Consider the following 23,933-nt stretch of genomic DNA (forward strand, 5'->3'; position numbering starts at 1 on the left):
AGGAAGAATCAATATTGTGAAAATGGCCATACTGCCCAAGGTAATTTATAGATTCAATGCCATCCCCATCAAGCTACCAATGACTTTCTTCACAGAATTGGAAAAAGCTACTTTAAAGTTCGTATGGAACCAAAAAAGAGCCCACATTGCCAAGTCAATCCTAAGCCAAAAGAACAAAGCTGGAGGCATCACGCTACCTGACTTCAAACTATACTACAAGGCTACAGTAACCAAAACAGCATGGTACTGGTACCAAAACAGAGATATAGACCAATGGAACAGAACAGAGCCCTCAGAAATAATGCCACATATCTACAACTATCTGATCATTGATAAACCTGACAAAAAGAAGAAATGGGGAAAGGATTCCTTATTTAATAAATGGTGCTGGGAAAACTGGCTAGCCATATGTAGAAAGCTGAAACTGGATCCCTTCCTTACACCTTATACAAAAATTAATTCAAGATGGATTAAAGACTTAAATGTTAGACCTAAAACCATAAAAAGCCTAGAAGAAAACCTAGGCAATACCATTCAGGACATAGGCATGGGCAAGGACTTCATAACCAAAACACCAAAAGCAATGGCAACAAAAGCCAAAATTGACAAATGGGATCTAATTAAACTAAAGAGCTTCTGCACAGCAAAAGAAACCACCATCAGAGTGAACAGGCAACCTACAGAATAGGAGAAAATTTTCTCAACCTACTCCTCTGGCAAAGGGCTAATATCCAGAATCTACAATGAATTCAAAGAAATTTACAAGAAAAAAACAACCCCATCAAAAAGTGGGCAAAGGATATGAACAGACACTTCTCAAAAGAAGACATTTATGCAGCCAAAAAACACATGAAAAAATGCTCACCATCACTGGCCATCAGAGAAATGCAACTCAAAACCACAATGAGATGCCATCTCACACCAGTTAGAATGGCAATCATTAAAAAGTCAGGAAACAACAGGTGCTGGAGAGGATGTGGAGAAATAGGAACACTTTAATACTGTTGGTGGGACTGTAAAGTAGTTCAACCATTGTGGAAATCAGTGTGGCAATTCCTCAAGGATCTAGAACTAGAAATACCATTTGACCCAGCCATCCTATTACTGAGTATATACCCAAAGGATTATAAATCATGCTGCTATAAAGATACATGTACACGTATGTTTATTGCAGCACTATTCACAATAGCAAAAACTCGGAACCAACCCAAATGTCCAACAATGATAGACTGGATTAAGAAAATGTGGCACATATACACCATGGAATACTATGCAGCCATAAAAAATGATGAGTTCATGTCATTTGTAGGGACATGGATGAAGCTGGAAACCATCATTCTCAGCAAACTATTGCAAGGACAAAAAACCAAACACCGCATGTTCTCACTCATAGGTGGGAATTGAACAATGAGAACACATGGACACAGGAAGGGGAACATCACACACTGGGGACTGTTGTGGGGTGGGAGGAGGGGGAGGGGTAGCATTAGGAGATATACCTAATGCTAAATGACAAGTTAATGGGTGCAGCACACCAACATGGCACATGTATATGTATGTAAGAAACCTGCACGTTGTGCACATGTACCCTAAAACTTAAAGTATAATAATAAGAAAGAAACAAGATGAGCTTGTGGACTGTCTTTCACATCCTGGGAACTTATAGAAAGGTAGTTAGGATTATTAAGCAACTAAAACATTTTCCTTTATTTTTCCTTCCTTACCGCTACCTCTCCCAAGTTGTAATAATTTAATAGTTACAACTATTAGTACAAATAGTTTTAAAAGTCTCTTTGAGTTGCCACCCTGGAGTGTGTATCTCCTAATGGGATAATACTTAAGGCATTTTATAAACTTTAAAGTGCCATGGACATCAGTCATTTGTGCATTTGTGAGCACTGCCTCATTTAAGCCTGCCGTCGCCTTAATGTACTGTGTACATTAGATACGACTTCAGTTCCCTTATCCCAGGAGGGCTGAAACTTACTGGGATTTCTGTTATATTGACCTAACAGATTAGGATGATTTTAAAATTTTACTCATTTTCTATATTGAATTAAAACAAGAAATTAGCTGAGCATTTTCCAAGATGGAAGGAAAAACGGCCATTGTTTTGATTTCTAGTTATGTAACCCATTCCAAAAATTCAAACATGAGATTACACGGAGTGCTGTATTAAACAGATGAGTACCTGCTCACTGGCTTCCTTTCACACAGTCGCCTGGCACTGCAGCCACACCTGTGCTCACCTGTACCTGCCTACCTGTGGCTGGGCCAGGCCCCAGGAGTCCCGTGGGTCAGGAGCATGGCATGGAGGGTGGGCAGAGCTTTCTGCTCATCCCCGGATCATGGCAGCGTCAGATGGAACTCGGCCTGCCCCGTTTCTGTGCAGCTGTCAGGATGTATGGGGTTTTCCCATGCTCCGTGCCTCCATGCCTGCGGCACTTTGGAAGGACGTTAAGGCAGGACATCTTTAGGAGAATGTCTTTATTGACTTTGTCTTTATTTACCTTGGGCCTGGCGCTGTTATCTCAGCTGAGTGTCCGTGTTTAAAGGCGACACATGGAACGAGCATGGCTCATAATTTTGAGTTTCTTCTTCTGGAGCCTTACTATTATATGCTCAGAAACCATCTCTGTCTGCGTGGTATCTCTCCTCTGGCAGTGCAGTAGGTCACACATCGTTGAGGTTATGAGCTTTGGAGACTCTTAGACATCAGCTCTCATGTTAACTCTGTGATTTTGGGAAAGTTGACCTATATGTTTTTGTTTTCTTTAGTGTGAAACAGGAATGCCTTCTGCATAGCGAGGCTGTCAGAAAAGCCCTTGACACTTTCTGGTCCCAGAGAGGGCACCGCAGCCACCCAGGCCTGCCCGTGAGAGGTGGCAGCTCTGGGAGGAACACTCCTTAGGCCGGTGTGTGGTACTGTCAGGTGCTTATTTTTGTTTCACAAACTTGGTATTTATTAGGTGTTCCAGGCTTTGTTCGACCCGGGTGGGAGGGAGGATCTTTGTTGGAGGACTCTCACTTTCTAATTGCGGGTTTTTGTTCTGAAGCCATAGGGTGTGTTGCCGTCTCAGCAGGGAGGAGTATTCCCCATTAACGGGCAGGTGGCATCGTGGGAGAAGCACCTGCTGTGCCCGGGGGGGCGGGACTGCGCAGGATCAGGGGGATGCGCGGGAGCCAGTGGTGCTGACACTGCATACCATGTGTCAGGAGCCTTGGAAGTCGGCTTAAATGGTTTAATCTGATTTAATCTTCACAAAAACCTTGAGGGATAGGCATTACGATTAGGCACCACAGTAGAAACTGAGGCATGGAGAGGTGCAACAGTTTCCCTGAGGTCACACAGCTCTTCAGAGGGGGAGACAGGACTTAAACACGAGGAGGCTGGCTCCAGGGCCCGTGGGCTTTGAGCGAGGAAGGCCTTCTAGGTCTAGACGTTCCTAGGCTGGGGCTCAGTGATACCCTAAAGCCCATGCACACCTCCTCAGACCTGGCTCCTGAGAGGCAGTCCTCCAGAGTGGCCTCTTTGCTGAGACTGTGAGCCTGGGCTTCTGTCTCTAACCACTAGCTACAAAAGGATGCTGGACAGACATCCTGTACCTAGGGACACCCCATGATGGCTTGTCCCCCGACCACAGACACCCCATGATTGGGGATACCCCGTGACCATGGATGCCCCATAACCACAGACACCCCACAACTGGGCAGCTCAAGGCAGCAAGTGCCTTCCTTGTGTGCTTCCGTTTTGTTGAGGTCTTTGTTGCAAACATCGTTTGTTGAGGGCTGCCTTACCCTTAGAAGACATAGTACCATTTCTGGGAACCATGGTTGCTGTTGAGAAATGCATCCTTACACGCCCAGATCCAGCCGCTGTCTGGTCCCACTGACATGGCACAGGAATCAAAGCAGGTGCTTGGGGGATGTCAACAGTTGAATTTGGATTCCTCATAAAGCAATGTTAGCACATGACACTCTGTGAGGAAATAATGATGCTACTTTGTAAGATAAGAAAGGGGAAACAGCTGCGTTGGTGGATAATTGTTAACGGTGCAGCTGCAGTGTGAGTTGCACACTGGAAGGTGTTTGCCGTGACCTGTCGCGGGCTGAGCTTTTTGGTAGCCTGGCATTGTGGTGGATGCCTTTCATTCCATCCGCTGTGGCTGAGTTCTGCTTTCCTGCCCCTGGTTCTGCAGTGGCGTGACTGGGCTGCTTACAGGCCCTGTCTTTCCAAGCCACCATTTAATTGGGGAGGGCTACTGACATGGCACCATTGAACTTGAGACCTGCCATTCCTCCGGTGGCAGTCCTTGGAGAACAGGGCCCCAGGTCTTTCTGACCCCACATCATTGGCATGGTCTCGCAGCCAAGTAGGTTATGTTTTCTGAGGAAATCATCATGTCATTCCCATCTACTGTTAATTTTTAAAAAGCTGTGATTCCTGATGAAACAAACTAGAGATGATGCAGGAACTCTGGATCTAAATGGTCAGTCACTATCTTCTGCAACTTGCTGGAGTGCAGACACGTCTCAGAATAAGATATTCTCAGACTAGTCAGAACATTGTTTCCTTTCTTTAAAAAACAAAACAGAAAACCACTGAGCCCAGAGTTCAAGGCCTCCTAAAGAGGAAGAGGGCTTTGGCTACCTGCAGATAAGAAAGGTTTTGGTGGTAATGCTCAAGTGTGAGTTAGGTGTGGGCGTGAGCATGCCCAGTGGCCGTCCCGTCCTCCTGGAGACAAAACCATTTCCGGGGTATCCCCTGGCTAAGCATTTGAAAGCAGCAATTTATTTTCAACAGTTTCTATCCTTAATATTTAAAAAATAGGAAAGTGTACTCAATCAGCTTTCTGTTGACTTTCTGCTGCCTGGCCGGCGTCTTGTAGGAGGCGCTCTGCCTGTCTGTGCAGGAGGCTGTCCAGGGTGTGCGAGCCACGTGGGCCAGCCTCTGTGGGCGGACTGTCCCAGGTGGGTGGTGGTGAGGGGGTGAATTCCTCCTTCACATTTGCTTACAAGTGCTCCTTTTTTGAGTGTTGGGAGCACATCTGTGTATGAAGGACATCATTCGGACGCTTTCCAGGGTGGTGGGAAGCAGCCTCCCTTAGCCCGGCTACGTCTCATGAATGTGCGTGGACCCCGCCTGGCCTTCTGCCCGACATGTACTCCACCCCGCCTTCTACCAGGAGCCAAGGCTGTGACCATTGTGATCTGAACAAGCCGTTGAGAGTGTGCTCTGTTGTCAGTGAATTAGTTCAGAGAGTCCCTCCTCGTGTTATAGTTCTCATGACCACTGCGCAGTGTTGCTGTGCTCTGCCTCTGACGGGTGGCTGCCAGGCATTGAAAAAATAACATCGTAAGTCCTTACTGCTAACACTGACTTTTAAAAACATTTAATTGTGTGCCTTTTAAACTTTTGTTCTCCGTACAACGTCTTCCCGATATTTAGATTTTAACTTTTAAAAGACAGTTACAAATTATTTCTAAAGTATAAAGTCTGGTTGTTGTTTTTTTTTTTGATGGAGCTGTGAGGAGGAAAAAAATGAGATATAGAATTTTAGTGTAGGTGATCTTGTGCTTTAGGATAAAACCATTTTTCTGTTACTGCTTTTTGGTATCTAAATCCCCGGCAGTTTCCCCCTTCGGATAAAGCATCATGTAGGTTTTAGCACACCAGCGGGTTCCTGGCTCTTTAGTGAAAAGGTGGCTCTGAGGATTGCCCTGTGCCCGCCATGACCATCCTGGTGGCTTGGCGACTTCATATTGACTGCAGGCCCTGTGGACAGAAAGAATTATTTCTTTTTTAGAGAAAAGATATTTATGACCGAAAACAGTGCTAAAAACATGAGAATATTGATCATGGTTTTGAGAGATGCTTGCACTGAATCACTTGATATACCTAAATATCGGCTTTATTCTATCTTCCCTAAAAGACAGATTGCCAACACAAAAGATGAACCATCTTGAGGGAAAAAAATCTTATATCTTTCTGATAGGCTGTCTTGCTTCCTTCCATAACAATGGGGAGAAAAGAAGTCTGTGTGGTTTCCTGAAATAAGCAACAAATATAATAAATGGTGTATCGGAAGCTTCTGTAAAACTGCCTTGGGTGTACTTTATTTAACTTGTAGTAATAAGTTAAATTAACATCAAATGGAAATTCAAATAGCTAAACATTTAACCAATCTAACAGTAAACAATTATTCTAAAATCAACATAAAAATAAAGACCCATTATCATCAGAAGACCTAATTCATTGTTTTTAGAGGTAATCTCTTGGGGTTCTGTGGAAATTTATAAAGGAATGAGTGAGGCTAATTATTTACTCATCAGATTTTTGAAGGCAAATACTTTTCTGTTATTCTTAAATTTTAGACCTATTTTGGATCAAGATGGTGTGTTGCTTTTGTAGTTTAAGGTAGAAGATAGTGAGGCTGACTTCCTTCCTTATCCCGGGTAGAAAGCCTGACTTTTTCTGGATAGATTGCAGCCTAGGGGTTGTGGTTTTGGTCCTGTTCTGCCCTTTTCCCAAATTCTTCTTCATTGCATCTGATACATCCCCCTTGCCTGCAGGGCAGGGCCCTGTCTCTGTGGCACACATAGCAGGACCGTTTACATTTCCTCTGCTCACAGGTGCCGCCCACACCTTGCTTCCTATTTCATGTCCTCCTCGTCTCTGTAGTTGAGGGAAGAGTATTCCATTCAACAGATGGAAACACCATTGCATCTGACTGCCATGTCTTTGAAACCTGCCAGACCAAGTCTTGACTTTCGTTTTGTTTTTTTTGGTGGAGCTGGGAGGAGACAGATGGGCCATACAGTCTATGTGTGGGTGCCTTGGTGTGGGACACAAGAAAGTGAGGCAGGACGTGGAGCACCAGGTCATCAGAGCTGGCAGAGGCTGCTCCACCGTGCACCGAAGACTTGGCATGTCAGTGGAGCCAGGAAGTCTCCGATGCAGAAGCGGAAGTCAGTGTGGCCACAGGAGCGAGGTGGCAAAGTGCTGGCCTTGGAGGAAGAGAGAGGTCAGAGAGTAGACAGAGGGTGAGGCCTGGATCATCATCAGATGAGCAGACATGAAAGCCGCTCTCAACAGGATTAGAAAACACAGTTTCTAGGGGATTCTTGCAGGGAAACAGACATGGAGGGGCACCATTTGGTTTGTAAAAGGAAGGTATAGCCCTGAAGTTGGCAAGCTCTTGGCCTGCTGGCCTGATGCAGCAGGCAGCTGAGAATTGCTTGGCCTGTCCATGGGGGCCTGACAGGTATCTCAAATTTTAATTGCCAGCACACACGAATCAGGAGATTTCATATTTCAAAAAGCATGTATGGCTGCTGTTTCTTTTTTGTATAAGGCTTAATTTGTTTTTTTTTTCATGTTATAGCTTTCCTGAGATACATTTTACATACTCTAAAATTTACCCATTTAAATTGTACAGCATGCTGGGTTTTCATGCATTTATACAGTTGTGTGTCCATCATCACAGTGTAATTTTAGAAGATTTAAATCTCCCTCTTCCCCACTGCCCCTGCCAAAAAAGGGACCCCAGACCTACCAGCAGTCATTTCCCATCCCCCTCCCTCTGGTACCAGCCCACCACTAGTCTGTCTGTGTCTGTGGTTTTCCCTGTTCTGGATGTTTTGCATCAACGGAATCCTGCACCATGTGGCCTTTTGTGCCTGGTTCCTTTCCCTTCGTGTGGTGTTTTCAAGGTTGCTCCACGCTCCAGCATGTGTCAGAACTTAATTCCCTGCGGCCAAACAATATCCCATCATGTGGATGAACCACATTTTGTTGATCTATACATCAGTTAAGTCAGTTTCGCCTTTTGGTGTTGTGAATAAGGCTGCAGTGAACATTTGTGTATATATGTGTTCATTTCTCTTGGGGTATATATACACACACACACACGTAGGCCTAGGAGTAGGATTCCTGGGTCCGATGGCAATTGCATGTTTAGCATTTTGAAAAACTTATGGTTTTCTAATACAGCTGCCCCATTTTACATTCCTGCCAGCAATGTATGAGGGCTCCAATTTCTTCATATACTCACCAACACTTTCCATGTTGTCTTTTTGATTTTAGCCATCCTAAAGGGCGAGAAAGATATCTTCTTGTGTAAAACGGGCAAATAATCAAGCTGGGAATGGTAAGCAGGGTTTTTATTCACAATAGGGCTGGTTGATGGGATTCACAATTACAGAAGGCCACAGAGGGAGGACACACTTGGTGTACTATTTCTTTTTGTCAAACAATAGCATTATTGAGATGTAAATGACATACAGAGTATACATACAGTAGTTCCCCCTTAGTCATGGGGAATATGTTACAAGAACACCAGCAGATGCTGGAAACCGTAGAAGGCACCAAACCCTTGGTATCCCTGAGGGGTTGGCTCCAGGACTCCTCTCGGATACTAACATCCGCAGGTGCTCAAGCCTCTTATATAAAATGGCATACTATTCTTATATAGCCCAGAGACACCCTCCCATATTTTTTAAATCATCTCTAGATTACTTATGATACCTAATGCCTAGATATCACTTCATTCTTGTGAATTCAACGTAGTCCTTAACATATAGCAAATTCAAGTTTTGCCTTTTTGAACTTTGTAGAATTTTTTTCCGAATATTTTTGATCTGTGGTTGGTTGAGTCCGTGAGTCCGTGGCTGTGGAGCCCATGCATATGGAGGGCCGGCTGTGCAGTATCTTTTCCTACACATACATCCCCATAATAAAGTTTACTTTGTAAACTAGCCCAGTGAGATTAACAGCAGCAGTCTATGGAACCATTATAACAACATGCCAGCATCACTATTCTTGCACTTCAGGGCCATTATTAAGTGAAATGTGGGTGACTTGAACACAAGCACTGCAATGACCTTGATAGTCTATCTGATAGATACCAAGATAGATGGCTACTAAGCGACAGAAGGGCGGGGGTGTGTACAGTGGGGATGCACCGGACAGAGGGATGATTCGTGTCTCAGGTGGGATGGGGCGAGATTTCATCCCACTACTCAGAATGGTGTGCAATTTAGAACGTATGGATTATTTATGTCTGGAATTTTCCAGTTAATATTTTTGGACCACGGTTGATCTCAAGTAATTGAAACCATGGAAAGTAAAACTGTGGATAAAGGGGGCCACTGTATCTCACATATACAGTTTGATAAAATTTGCCTATGGATGACCCCAATCAAAATAACAAATATTCTCATCACCCCCAAAGTTTCCTCTTGCACCTCTGTGATTCCTCTCCTCACCTCAACCCGCTTTCCTTTCTCATCCCCAGGCAATCACTGATCTGCTGTCACTGTGCATTAGTTTGATTTTCTAGAATTTTGTGATGCACATATATACATATATATTGTATTTTACACAAAATTTTCTCGTTTTATGAATGGAATTATAACGTATAGTCTCTTCGTGTCTGAGTTCTTCCAGTGTATTGAGTTTGATATTCATGCATGTTGTTGCATGTGTCAGCGGTTGATTACTCTTTTTGCTGAGTGGTATTCCATTGTGTGGGGATACCACAGTTTATCATTCGTTTGTTATTGTACATTGAATATTGTTCTTTCTGCTTTCGGCTGTTGCAGACACTGCTATGAATATTTATATGAAAGACTTGGTAAGGACGTATGCTTCTAATTCTCTTAGGTAAACACCTAGGAGTGGATCCTATGGGCAATGGGTGTTTAGCATTTTAAAAAGTTGCCAAACTGTTTTCCAGAGTGGCTGCATCCCTCTGCCGTTTTTATGAACAGTGGGTGGGAATGCAATTCTTGCATATAGTCTCTGATTTCATATCATTTTCCTTTTGCCTGGAAGACTTAGCATTTCTTCTGTGGGGTCTGATGGTGATACTGTCTTTTAGTGTTTTTAATGTCTGAAAAAGTATTTTCATATTTAAAAGATATTTTTGCTGTGCAAAGAATTTTGAGTTTTCTCTTTTCCTTTTCTTAAAGATCTTGTTCCACTGTCTCTGACTTGCATTGTTTCGGACCAGAAATCTGCTGTCATCCTTATTTTCCTTCATGTATGTGGAGCATTTTCCCCCCTCCAGGGGTTTTTGAGTTATGTTCTTTATCGCTGGCTTTGACCATCTGGCTCATTTTTTGGGTTGGTGTGCTTGTCTTCATGTGTCTAGTGCTTGGGCTTCATTGAGTTTCTTGGTGCCATCAATTACATCTATATTTGTCTGTTTTAAGTTATCCCACAGTTCTCTAATATTGTGATTTTTTTGTTTTTTTTGCAGTGTTTTATTTTGGTAGTTTCTATTATGTTTTTGAGTTCACTAATCTTTTCTTCTGCAATGCCTAATATGCTTTGAATGTCATCTAGTATGTTTTTCTTCTCAGGCATGGTGATTTTAATCCATAAAAATTTGTGTCATTTTTATATCTTAATTTTTCTTTTTCTTTTTTTTTGAGATGGAGTCTTGTTCTGTCACCAGGCTGGAGGGCAGTGGTGTGATCTTGGCTCACTGCAACCTCCTCCTCCTGGGTTCAAGTGATTCCCTGTCTCAGCCTCCCAAGTAGCTGAGACTACAGGCACAACCCACCATGCCCAGCTAATTTTTATATTTTTATCATGATCCACCCGCCTCGGCTTCCCAAAGTGCTGGGATTACAGGTGTGAGCCACCGTACCCGACCTATATTTTTCTACTCACCTTTTTGACATGTGAAATACAGTTATAACGACTATGTTAATATCCTTGTCTGTTAATTCTAACATCTTTGTCAGTTTTGGGTTGGTTTTGATTTTTTTCTCCTCCTAGCAGTTGTATTTTTATTCTTTTATGCTTTTCTTGTAATTTTTGAATGGATGCTTTATATGCAAATGTTACCTGGCTGGGTGCTAGGTTATTTATTTAATAAATATCCTTTAGCTTTGTTCTGGGAGGCAGGTAAGTTACGTGGAAATAGTTTGAATCTTTTGGATCATGCTTTGAAGATTCACTAGTTGCAACTACAGTGGTATTTAGTTTCAGGCTAATTATTCCCACAACCAAGGCAGGATTGTAAGAGGAGAGATCATGGCCGGGGACTCATGGCTAGACAAAAAACAGGACCTCAGTCCTATCAGTGCAAGGAAATGAATTCTGTCAATACATAGTGAGCTTGAAAGAGACTCGCAGCCTCAGCCCTGGGAGTCTCAGTTGCAGCTGACATTTTGGTTTCACCCGGAGAAACCCTTAGCAGAGGACTGAGTCCACCCGTGCCTGGACTCCTGACCCATGGGGCGGATGAGACAGTAGATGTGTGGTGGTTAAACCACTGAATCTGTGGTAATTTGTGGTGATTTGTTATGCAGCAGTAAGAGGTAATACCGTATGCATCTTCTTGCATCATTTACCAGCTTTTTATTATATGTGGAAGTCTTACGTCTTTCCTCCCTTTTTTATTGCCCTCTGAGTACCTTGTTGTCCCTTTCTGTGTCACATTCTTCCCACTCGCACGCATGCATCCAGGAATAAGAGCACTGTGGCTCGGTGTGGCCAAGACCCACTGTGTACCTTCCATGAAAGATGTTTGTGAGTAGCATGGGCCCCCGAACCCTGGGTCCAGTCCTGCCTGTACTGCGAGCCAGCACTGTCATCATGGATAGTGCCCTCAGCCCATACTCTCCTCTGTGAAGTGTGTGTGCCAGCACACTGACATCACAGGGTGCCTGCAGCATTTGGAAAACACGCAGCATCATGCAAACTGCCTAGGAGTGCTCAACAATTTGGAGCTGGTATCTTTACACTTACCACGTTGAATATTGCATGCAGACTACATATTTGCAGAGCTTAATGAACAGAGAGGCATTTTAGGACAACTAGGAGAAACTCGCGCAGATTCCCCTCAGGGGGAGGGAAGCTGTTTTGTAGGTGTCTCTGGCAGTAGCCTAATGCAGTTGCTTTAGACCCTGGTGGTCTGGATACTGCTTCACTGTAGGCTTTAATTGCATTGCTCCAGGTCTGTGGAAGGCTGGAAGAGGCCGGTGTTTTTGTGTCACTTTTGCTACCCCCTACTCTCTCTAGTTGACAGGCCATTTGGAGCACCAGGGAGTACAATCTGGCTGAAGAAGCGGTATCCAAGGAGGACGTCATGGTGTCTGTTCTCGCAGTCATGGAGCCTAGTGCCAACAGGCCTTAATTCTGTGTTCTGGTGTCTCATGAGTGGCTCTGCAGTGGGACGTCAGAGCAGCCAGGCCTCAAGCCGCCTGGCTGGGGTGGGGACAAAGTGTGTGTTGTCCCTTCATCACGGGAGTGTGGGGCCTGGCACACGCCCTGCCAGGGCCTCACTTGGGCCATGCCTCAGAGCATGGGTGCTACTCACCTCTGACCTCTTGAGTTTTGCAGGCAAACTCAGGTCGAATTTGGATTCTCAGTCGCATTGTGGCTCACATGACATGAAATAAAATGTTGACATTTATTTGCTTCTTGTGGCCTCTACTAAATATATAAAATAATCAAAACTGAAACTTTCCATTATTCTCAGCAGGAGTGAAACATCTTGACTTTGGAAATTTTTCCTAGTGATTTAACTCAAGTCGGATATCGGCAGCACCACCTGCAATAGTGACCCCCTATGGCCTGCGGCGGGGCTGCTTAACGCTCACATGGGTGGTCACCAAGGAAGGGCTGCTGGACAGGCAGACTCCCAGAGCAGTTGCTACTTACAAATCCAGCTTCCAGCAGGGAGACCATTAAAGGGCTGCTTCCACCTCCAGGGCGGGCAGTGAAGCCTCCAGCTGGGAGCCGCGTGAAAATCAGAGCCAATGGGAGCTGGCAGCCCATCCACCAGGAGGGTCCAGAAGACAGAGGCAGAGGACGTGGGATCTGGAGCCCAAGGGAGGGGTCCCAGGTGGGTTGAGGCTGGAGATGGCCCAGGAAGCCCTGGTTTGGGGTGAGGGTGGGCGAGACTGAGAGGCTGCTCAGACAGGATGGGTGGTTGAATGGAGTGCGGATCATGAGATCATCACAGGGCCACAGCATATCAGGCCATGGGTTCCCTGTTAATTCCTCTCCCACCTCGAGGACCGGAGCTTCTGTTAGGCAGGCGGGGGCTCTGCCGCAGGCCCACATTCTCTGCTAATTCCCTTCTCTCCTAAAGGTTTCAGATCTGTCTGTGGTCTTTTGTTTTACTTGGAAACACATGTTTAATATATCTTATAAAATACGTTTAATATAAAAATATAGTTCACTTTATAGTTCAGTTGCTTTGAGCACATTTAGTAAACCAAGATGTGCTTATATGAACTTTTCCCTGAAAAGTACCTGGATCCCAGAGTTCTACATGGATTGAATACTTATGTTTCGATTTTAATTCCTTAGATGGCTAACTCAGCATTATTTAAATTTTAATAAAGAGACTGGATACAATGTGAGCGAATTTCTCTCTATATTTTGTGAATCTCTATCAGAGCAAAATAAAACTGTTTCTGTTTTGCAATGAATAGTTTCTAGCCATGGAATTGCTGGTCGAGGCAAGAAAGTATGAATCTTATTTTTGTGGATCTAGCCAAGAAAAAGAACGTAAACTTTGAAAAGTATGTCATTTGCCATTCACAGTCTAATGAGAAACTCAGAGAGGCTAGAAACTCTCAATAAAAATTCTGATATCAGCATTTAAGATCCAGCAAGATAGGGTATACGGGCATTTAAGGGATTCACAATCCACAGTTTACTGGCACTTTAAATGCTGTGAATCTTGTACTGGCAATCACAATCTTGATTTTATTACCGAGGGGGACCCCTCGTGAGGAATATGTCGGTGCAGTGTGCAGGTTAAACTGTGAGCTGCTCCAGCCTCTCTCCCGCCGGCTGACGGAAAGGTGGTCAAATTACCTTCGCAAATCTGAAGGGTGCTTGGCTCCAGCAAATTGGCCATTTAGTCAAAAAGTGTCTGAAAATGACGTAGTCGTTGGAAGTGTTTGGGAATAAGCGATGAGTTGGCCAAACGCAGTGTGTTTTCTGTAGGCAAGCACCTGTGGCAGCTGGCAGGGATGGGCAGGCCTGCAGAGATGGCTTCCTGGGGGCGCAGCGTGGTCAGGCTTGAGGGTGGTGACAGTGCCCCCAGGAGAAGGCGAGACTGGCCAGAACTGGGACGGGCATGATGAGTGGCCGTGTTTCAAATATTGTCCATTTTTAACTTTTGAAAATGCCAAAAGCAAGTATGCTGCCTTGTGGAATCTGTGCAAGCAGTTCTTTCCAGGCTGACCTTGAATAGCCTGACAGCAGAGCGAGGAGTGAAATGAGCACGCCTCAGGCTGTGGTCCACTCGTGCGGGAAGACATGGACCTGCTACTGCTCCCTGCCCTCTGTCTCCCCAGGAAAGGAGCATTCTGGCTCAGAGATTCTCAAACTGGGTCTTCCAAGACCGCACAGGTGCTGTGTCAGGTCAGAGATGCCTCTGTAACAACGCCAAGACCTCGCGTGTCCAAGAGTGATGCTGGGGGAGGCTGCTCTAGCTGGACCTAGATCCAGGCCAGGCCCCAGACCTCTGCAGCTGTCCACCTACTCCTCACCACCACGCGTTTGCAGGTGGTGGACGGTGTTTTATTTAAGAATGTCCTTGTTGGCCGGACGCGGTGGCTCACGCCTGTAATCCCAGCACTTTGGGAGGCCGAGGTGGGTGGATCACAAGGTCAGGAGTTCGAGACCAGCCTGGCCAACATAGTGAAACCCTATCTCTTCTAAAAATACAAAAAATTAGCCAGGCATGGTGGTAGGCACCTGTAATCTCAGCTACTTGGGAGGCTGAGGCAGGAGAATGGCTTGAACCCGGGAGGCAGAGATCACAGTGAGCCGAGATGGCGCCACTGCACTCCAGCCTGGGTGACAGAGCGAGACTCCGTCTCAAAAAATAAATAAATAAATAAAAAAGAATGTCCTTGTTGAAGCAATAAACGCTAATTGTACTACAAACTGACCCTGGAGCACCTCTCTTTTTAGTAGACACGGGGATGAAGTGAAGTGTGCGTAAAGCACTTCTGCCATGGACCAAAGCAGGGATGTTTTCCGGAGGAAGGGTTTGCGTGTGACTCAGGGTGACGGGAGTGGCCACTTTTTTCCTGGAATACCATTTTCACCATTGAAAGTATCACTGACCAGCCAACCATATTTACCCACACTTGGGTTTTTGGCAGAAATTTTCAAGGAAAATAGCTGACAGTATTTGTTGCTAGTACTGAATGATGAAATCTGAGTTTCAAGTGAAAATCATAATTTTGAGAAACTTGCACCTACTGCCGTGAGCTTAACAGCATTTCAATGTTTAAACAACGTTTTGCTGATACCAGTGTGGCATTAACTAGTGTGAATTTCGGTAGTGTGCTGTGGCTGAAATGCCTAACGTAGATTTGCATACCTCAGTGAACCAGTATTTTCTAAATGATGGATAATGTTATAAAATTATGCCTGGGTAAAAATCCAAAATGCAGGCTAGGTGAATGGATTTTAATGGAACCGTGCAGACAGTTGATTCGGAAGGCTTCAGGGTCCACATGGAAACTGTGGTTTGGGAGCTGCCCCTTGTTGAGAGTTCTGTTCAGGTATCAAAGGAGAGTATCCACAGTGGCCCAAGGTAGATTTTCTTCCTGCACGTCAGCCAGAGCCCTGTATGGAAACAGACTGAAGGCAGAAGCAGCTGCGAGAGTCCACCTGCCTTCTGTTAAGCCAGCTGTGGAAGACAGTCTCAAAAATGTAAACCAGTGCAACTTTAATTAATCCTTTTTTTTTTTGGAAAAATGGTTATTTTTCATGAAAATGTTATATGTGATAACATGAAATCAGTTCATAACTATTTTGAAATGAAATATTTTTAAATGTTCTCAGCTTTCATTTCAAACACAGTATCAATAGAAATAACTTGCATGAGGAAAAAAATAGCTCTTTAGAGTCCTCATGATGCTTAAGGGTGAGACTGAAAAGTCAGACACCCACCGCCCCAGACAAACACCATGGTGGCCTCGGGGATGCTGCGAGGTCAGAGAACCTGCACTCTGCTTCCTTCTTGTGTAGGGTGAGGGAGAAGCCCCAAGCCGTTTCTTCTCAGGGCTCAGGTGTCTCTCATCAGTGTAGGGAGGGTCTTCGGGCATCCTATGCCCTGCTCATTCCCTCGATGTTATCCGGACAGGAGATTTCAGCTCCTGCGCAGTGGGCGCTGTTGGGATTCCCAGGCCTCCAAGTCATGACGGTGGGTGAAATGGAGCTGGTATTTGAGAAGGCTCGGAAGCCTCCCCTTAGAAAGGTGGGTCCTGATCAGCAGTTTGGGATGCCCCTGTGTTTCCTGCATTTGGGATGGGCGGTCCTCCCTCCTGCCTCCCCAGCTCTCTTGAGCACAGTGTGGCCGGCATCTGGTCAGGACTTCAGAGTGGCCAGCCCCGTGTTGCCGACGAATCTGAGAGGGAGCCCCTGGCTTCTTATTTTTCTTTGAACTACGTCAACGGAATTGCTTCGGATCCTTAGCCATTTTAAAAAACACAGTCATATCACGTCCCCTTCTGACATTCTCTTAAGCTTTAGCAAATAACAGAAATTTCAGTCTCACTGTGCCTTGTTCAGAGGTGACAACAACAATGGGTGGCTGAGGCGTAAGTCTCAATCATCCAGGCTCCTTAAAGCAGCTTTCGGGCATGTGTGGGGAAAGTACGCCACAGACACCCAGGGCTGTGCTTCCAAAGAGGTTTTCAAGAGGTTGAGTATTGACACCTTTCCTTACAAGGTAGTGGGGAGGCCTGGAGGCCAGGCAGTGAGGCGAACAGTGCTCAGTGAATCCACGCTCCAGGTGAGGGGAGGCAAATGTCGGCAGAGAAGGTGGGAGCAGAGGAGGAGTTCCTTATGCAGAGGTCTCTGGGCAGGCAGAGGAAATGAGCCTCGACTTTGCTCTGCCCTGGGAAGGGAAGCTTGTGATCCACATTATATCAGTGTGGGGTTTTATGAGCTGGACTGAGATGGTTGATCTAAAGTCACAGTTGGCAAGTCCCTGTTTATGCGAGGCCGGCAAAGAATTCACCTCTGAGTGATCTGTGGGGGCAGCCCTGTGTTGGTGCCTGAGGCCTCTGCCTTTCTGTGGAGGTCTGGCTGATGCATGAGGCTAGAAACAGCCATTCATTTGGAAGAGGGCGTTGCAATGACTCAGCCTCTGGGCTTAAGCTTTCCTTTTGCATAAGAAGTCTGAGGGGTCCTCAGATGTTTTATCTTCCTTTACAAAGTTGTGTTGTCAACACCAAGGAAACAGTCTTGATTCTGAACAAGGAGGTAGCCTGGGTACTGAAGGTGAAAAGAGCTCAGATCAGAAGTTTCTTGGAAAGAGATTTAAAGATTTTTAAAAAATCAGATTACTAAGGCATATTAAAATATGTTCAGTCTTACACTGTGTTCTTTGAAACCTTGAATTACTCTAGCAAAAGGCTCAGAGGGTACTGCTATGAGAAGCTGGATCTTGGACATCTCTTTCAAATGCCTCGGTACCTTTCAAAGGGCTTTGGATGGAATGAAGGGACACCATTGGGTCTCACAGCTTTCTCCTGCCTAACATACCACAGCAGTGTATGAAATTGTTCCCATCAGCTCCAGCGCGTGAAAGACAATACGAACAGTAACACCCCCAAAGAAACAGTGGGGCTGGAGACAGCAGAATCCTTGGAGGGTTCTCTGGCTGAAGAAATCTCTCTCCTACCACAGATACTGTCCCCAGAGAAGGTGCACCTCTACCACCAATGCCCTCCATCCTCAGTTGACAAGGATTCAAAAAGTTTGTTGGTGACGCTGACATGTAATATTCCCCTGCGAGTTACACACATCCAGGTGACCTTCGGACCAGCATTGCCGGCACACCCGTCACGCCATCAACCTGCCAGGCTGGAGAAGACCGCTCAGAGCTTTTCCTTGACTGGGGAGAGGGGAGCCGGAGCAGCGCCCCACGTCTCACGGTTCACCCCTGCCGTCTCTCGGGGCCTTCCTTCAGGCTTTCCCTGTATCCTCAGATCTTCGCCAGGGTCCTGTGATCCAGTGTTAGTTCATTCCATGTGTCATATATGAATGATGTCATTTGAATCATTTCAAGTCCTTTTGTAGGAAAACTAAGGCAGAAAGGCCAGCACCACAAAGAGGCATCCAGAATTCTCCTCGGCACAGGAGGGTGCAGCCATGGTGCCTTTGAGGAGACGGACACGCTTAGTTCCCCCTGCCATCAGTGGGCATCTCGATGTTAACCAGATCTTAGAAATTGCTCTGCTCAGGTTGGACTCATAAGTGTACTCTTAGATGCATTCTTCCATGTTTTTGGAATTTCCTAGAGAAAACGTCTTCTTTGTTCATGCCCGTGACACACGTTCCTCCCTGTGGTGACCTGGCGTCCATCCTGAGCTTTCGTGGTGTCCACCCATGAAAACAAAGGTGTCTGATCCCCCGTGCCACAGACATACTCTTAACCAGAATCTCCCAACCTGGGGTCCGTGGTGGTCTTCGGGGGGGTCTGACACTACCCAGGGTCAGATGAAAAGTGTTGACTGGATGCGTTTATGTGGGCGCTGCGATACTCTTCTTGGGGCGGGGCCCAGAGGGTTCCTGAAATTCTCAAAAGTGTCTGTGTCCCTCCTTGTGAGTAGGAGTCACTGTTTCAGATGCTCAGCTTTCCAGGTGATTTTTCAAATCCCTGGCACAGGCTTTCAAGGTGACTTAAGATTGTCTAATCCTCCTGCAGGTAGAAATGAGAGTCATCTGGCTGATGGTCACGAGCCGTCGGGGAGTTCCTCCTGTCTTGCACTCAAGCAGAGGAGTAAGGAGACCCCTTTAGAATGTACTTCTAATTGTTGAAAAGCACCTAACAAGTTTTCTATGGGGGAGATTATACAGGGACTGGGTAGGGACAATCACGTAAGACATACCTGTTTATAGAAAGAGCTGGATATAGAATTATAGGTGGGTTCAGCTGCACAAAGAAGAGTCAGACTACGGAGGCTTGAAGGAGCTGTGAATACACTGGGCATCTGACATCATTGCTTACTTCCCCCTGCCCCGCCCTGCCCCTCCCTGCCCCAGGGTATCGGTAGCATGTGTCCTAATTAAATTTTGACATTATGTGAGTTTTAGCATGGTATTTTCTGCATTGGGCTATCTGTATAATGTCATGGAGTGGTGACATAAATAATGCTAGACTTTTCCAATTTATCTACCATCCCAGCCCCCTCCCCAACTCAGTCATATGTGGAAAGTCAGTTTCTTTTTCCATTTATTATAGTTGTTAACTAAAGATTAAAATTTTACATTTCATTGCACTGTTCATAAATTGTTTATAAATACAGTGAAATCTAAGCAAACCAAGATGATCTTGGAAAGAAGTGTTCTGTATGGAATTTATCTGTTCAGACCCAACATGCACACCCTTCCTTCGGGATGTATCACCAAGATGAAGGCGGGCAGATCTCATGGGCATGAGCTTGTGTGCACCGAGGAAGTTCCTGCAAGCAGTCCTGCTGCACCTGGGCGGGGGACACCCTGTGGAGAACCACGGTGCTTGAGTGGAAGGAGTCTGTGTCTGTTTTTCAGAATGCCTTCTTGCCTTCACAACTAATATGCAACAAAAATAATAGGATTGCACCTGCTTTTGATGCCTCAAGATATGCAGAAATACATTTCCCTCACTTGAGCATGTCTCTGGATATACTAGGACAGCTAGGTCGTGCTTGCGTTTCAGGCCACGGCCCTGCTCAGGAGTCAGGTTCAGCTTCTTGCATTGAGTCTTATCCGCCACAGCCCAACTTTAACAGTGGATGATAGCCAGGAAAGAGAGGGAAGCATTTTTGGAGCTGGTTGTGGTTTTAATGAGGCATATACAGACACTGCTTTAGTGGATGTAGGAGTGAGGGGGGTGGGGTGTAGTGGTTGAGGAAGGGGCTTAGTGGGCTGGGGTGAAGGTCTCTGCTGGAGATCTAGGAGTTTTCCCTAAATCCTCATCTGATCTTCCTCTCCTGTAGATTGTTAGGATAAATGAGCAAGAAGATTCTGCGCAACAAACTGATACCTTGCTTTCTTTTGTGAGCAGCAGAGCTGGGGCGTGGAGAGGGTACGTCCAGTGTTGGATGTCAGGAAGTTCACGTCCCAGGGTATCTAGTACATCTGAGCTCTAAGCCTGCAAAGGAACCTTCTTTACAAATTGCACCATTGTTATGGTTGGCATTCTGGTTAAAAGTTCATCTGGATCTCAACCTCGCGTGAAATTGCAGAGCTACGACTGGAAAACTCGGCATCAGTTGAGAACCTTTGGGGACTTCTCAGACATTACAGTTAGAATTGAGCAAAACATGCTGAGTTCCATTCACTCACATTTTGGTGAGTGGGTTAAAATAACAGTTTAGTTTCGTCATTTTTATTACCTACTTTTCAGACAGATCCAGAAAAATAAAAAAACAAAAAAAAAGACAAGCATCATTACCATGTTTAGGAAATCTTTGAGAAGAAATATGTATGAAATTTGGCATACTGGCTAGCCATTCCCTTACCCCCTTATTTTTGATTATCCAAAAGCTCAAGGTGACTTTGCTCTTCCCCTCTGTGACTGGGGTTAGCAAACAACAGCCATGGGCTAGATCTTGTCCACCAGCTGTTTTTGCATGATCAGGACGCTGAGTGTGGTTTTTTCATTTTTTAAAGGGTTGTAGGAAATAAAGAGACTATTGAGTAGAGACCTCACAGGCCTTGGAAAGTGTGACATACTTCCTATCTCCTTCTCTACAGAAGTGGCTGCTGACTCCTGCTCTTTGGGGTCGAAACACAAAGACTGAATAATGATGTGGTATTTTTGTATTTAAAAAATGGCATAGGGCATTTTTAGGGAGGTTGTGGCATTGACGTATTCTGTGTTGCTTCAGAGAGATGTCGTTCGGTGGGTAGAGGCTGCGCAGTGGCCCACTGTGATTGGCATGGTGGTGGCTCTCGGCCCCTGGGCCTGCTCTGCAGTCAGGTCCACCATGTGGAAGTGCTCTGAGACTCGGTGCACGTATTCAATGTTTAGTGTGTGCCAGCCACGTTCTAGGCACCGTGGATGCGGCCAGCAAGGAAGATGAGGACCCTGTTCTCATGCCCAGCCTCAGGGTGGGTGCATGGAGCATCCCTGGTCGAGTGTGTGCTCAGGATTCCTTTAGTATGTCATGAATCTGTCGTGTTTCTCAGAGCAGACTTAGGAGCCAGGCTCCCTGAGATTGAACCCTGCGTGGGCCACTTCTTTGCTGTGGAACCGTGGGCAAGTCTCTTGTTCTTTCTGGCGGCTTCCATCTGTATAAGGGGATGATAGTGCCAATCTCTTAGCGTAGGTGACAGATTCCGAAGTAAAGGGCTTGTCAAGTAGGCCTGGGGTGGGCCTGGCACATCCTGGGGGTGCTGCCTGAGGGTCAGATGTCATCTTGGTGGCCCACACTCCCCTGCAGTGGTGCTGCTGGTTCAGGAAGTTAAAGTGGAAAACTGTGCTCCGGAATAAACACAATTGGGAGAACCCAAAACCACACGCAAGAAAGCAAAATGTGCTGCCCGATTACTAAGCATGGAGTTAAACTCTATTTGGTGTTTTTGTTCTGAATTGTTAGGGAGTAAGAATATTTATGGTTGGAATCCTTGGCCAATCCTAAATTTTCTTCTAACTAGTAGATAATTAAGTGTCTGCTTCTAGAGGATGTAGATGTGCTTGTCTTGTATATTACAAAGTAGAGACGACTTGCCCACACCCCCTCCTGGGCTCACACTCCATGCGGATGGCGTCAGTAGCTTCTGAGCCTCTTCAGGTGCTGAACACATGCCCTGAGCTGCTTGTTTTGACAGGGACATCATTTTTAAAGAGTCCTTTATTACCCCAGTTTACTCACCTCTTGTTGTCTCCAGCCCTTCCCTTTTTTATGTTCTTCTCTCCCTTTTCCCTTAGCAATTGCTAATACCCTAGTTGGTACTGATAAAAGAAAAACTTAAGCTGAATTGAATTTAAAGGAGTTTAATTGAGCAACGAACAATTCGCAAATCGAGCAGCCTCCCAAAGCCAGAGTAGGCTCAGATGGACAGAAAAAGGAAAGTGACAGAGACGAGGCACAGAAACAGCCAGATTGGTTACAGCGTTTGCCTTATTTGAACATGGTTTGAACAGTCAGCTATATTGGATTGGCCAAAACTCAGTGATTGGCACAAGAGTAGGCTACGGTCTGTTTATACCTCCACTTGTTATAGTTCATGAGGTACAGAAAAACCTTGAGGCCACATTCAAAACATGGAAGGAGGCAGCTTTAGGCTAAGCTTGATTCAACAGGTTGCTCTCGTCACTAGGAAGTAGTCATGTACAAATGCAAATGTGCTTGAAGTTTCAACCTAGTTTTTAGAATGTGGGATCCTGATGGGTATTCCTCTCATCTTGCTGCTTCTTGTCTTGCGCATTTATCATCCCTTCGAGGCAGTGGTTTCAGATCTTAATCCTTTTTCCTAGTCACCTAATATTCTAAGATGTGGCTATACAAAGCATTTCCAACCATTGTCCTTCCCCCCTCAAAAATTATGGTAATAAGCGTCCTTCCCACCCCACAGATAATACTGCAGTCAGTGCAGACATATGCTTGTACATGCTTTCACACACGATTCACTGAGGCCGGCAAGTCTGTGGGAGGGAGTTCTATAACTGAATGTTTACACAGGGTGTGCATATCTTTCTCTTTGAATAGGTTGTTTCTATACTGTTTGTCATGAAAACTCAGACCATTCCCATTTTACCATCCTTTCTTCACCAGGGAGATAGAGTGACAGAGCAACTTAATTGTTGCCCATCTGATGCGGATCAAGTGTCATATTAACTGTGCATATCCCTGCAACGTTTGCACACTAATGTACATTGGTCTTTCTAGATGCCTGTTGTTACCTATAGGTAAGTAGGTAGGTAGGTAGGTAGGTAGGTAGGTAGATGTCTGCTAGCAATTTGACGGGTCATTTCTTTTTGAAGGATAATGAACAAATTTGAAACCTGTGGCACAGCCTGGGACCTAAGTCTGTGTGGTGCAGGGAGTCTAACTTCTGTCTAAGTCAGTAGTATCTCCAGGGATACAGCCTTACATCCACTGCTGGCTGCGGCTTCTCTGAGCGACCCATCTCTGCGTCCGCCCATCCATGGCTGCCATCTCGCACAAAATTATTTTCCTGGGATGGTCCCTTGAGTTAGTTCGTGGTTAGGGGTAGCTCTCACCTTAGTCCCTACAAACCCACCTGAATTTCCTTTGTCTCCGAGCCACATGGGAAGGAGACTGTGGAAAATAAACCAAGAGATTCTCTAGTAGGTAGAGCTAGAGGCAACAGGTTAAAATCACATCTTTATAGGAGAATGTTTGGGGAATGCATTCAGCAGTCACCCATTCTCATTAATAGACCCAGAAAACAATTAAAAAATACACATTGTGATTTGGACTGGGCAGACATGCCGACTGTGGAGCCATTTCTTAAGAGAGGGAGGTTGGCAGGTAGCTGGTGAGCCTATTTCTTTGCTCATTGAGCTAGCAAGAGCAACACCCATTACTTTCATTGGATTACTTGTTTGAAAATTAAATTAATCAAGTGAGGTAAACATCCGTATTGCCTCTTAGCACCCCCATAGGCTGCCCGCAAAATGGCCTGCGTGGGTATCCTAAGAGCAGGAATTGGCTATGACCTGCCGAGGTGGCCAACTCAGATGTGGCCAGTTTTCCATACAAGTATGAAGTTCCTGAATTAATGGGAAACCTGGCTGCATTGTCTGATGGCTTACTGGCAAGCAGTAATTAGAAAACATTTTTCATAGTGGAACCTCAGGTTTAGCTATCCAGAGAAATTGGATATTTCAAAATACTCCTAGTTGGTTAGTGAAACATTAGTATTAATGACAAATTAATATTAATATCAATATCAGAGTTGAGTATGTAGCCTTTGGGAAGAG

At 45.3% G+C, this 23,933-nt stretch overlaps 1 protein-coding gene across 1 annotated transcript in view, besides 3 other annotated features; it reads left to right on the plus strand.

The window, feature by feature from the left end:
- The window catches only part of MGMT (O-6-methylguanine-DNA methyltransferase), a 303,743-nt gene that overhangs the window by 109,834 nt on the left and 169,976 nt on the right, over nt 1-23,933 (plus strand). The window lies entirely within an intron of this gene.
- Nucleotides 3,637-4,613: an enhancer, noted in NCBI's record as "H3K27ac-H3K4me1 hESC enhancer chr10:131378975-131379951 (GRCh37/hg19 assembly coordinates)". NCBI's record gives its function as "activates a minimal SCP1, AML or CMV promoter by ChIP-STARR-seq in primed H9 embryonic stem cells {active_cell/tissue: H9 hESC(primed)}" and the evidence as "EXISTENCE:reporter gene assay evidence [ECO:0000049][PMID:30033119]".
- Nucleotides 13,713-14,278: an enhancer, noted in NCBI's record as "H3K27ac-H3K4me1 hESC enhancer chr10:131389051-131389616 (GRCh37/hg19 assembly coordinates)". NCBI's record gives its function as "activates a minimal SCP1, AML or CMV promoter by ChIP-STARR-seq in naive H9 embryonic stem cells {active_cell/tissue: H9 hESC(naive)}" and the evidence as "EXISTENCE:reporter gene assay evidence [ECO:0000049][PMID:30033119]".
- Nucleotides 15,752-16,426: an enhancer, noted in NCBI's record as "H3K27ac-H3K4me1 hESC enhancer chr10:131391090-131391764 (GRCh37/hg19 assembly coordinates)". NCBI's record gives its function as "activates a minimal SCP1, AML or CMV promoter by ChIP-STARR-seq in naive H9 embryonic stem cells {active_cell/tissue: H9 hESC(naive)}" and the evidence as "EXISTENCE:reporter gene assay evidence [ECO:0000049][PMID:30033119]".

Source organism: Homo sapiens, chromosome 10 (genome assembly GCF_000001405.40).
Source record: "Homo sapiens chromosome 10, GRCh38.p14 Primary Assembly".
NCBI lineage: Eukaryota > Metazoa > Chordata > Mammalia > Primates > Hominidae > Homo > Homo sapiens.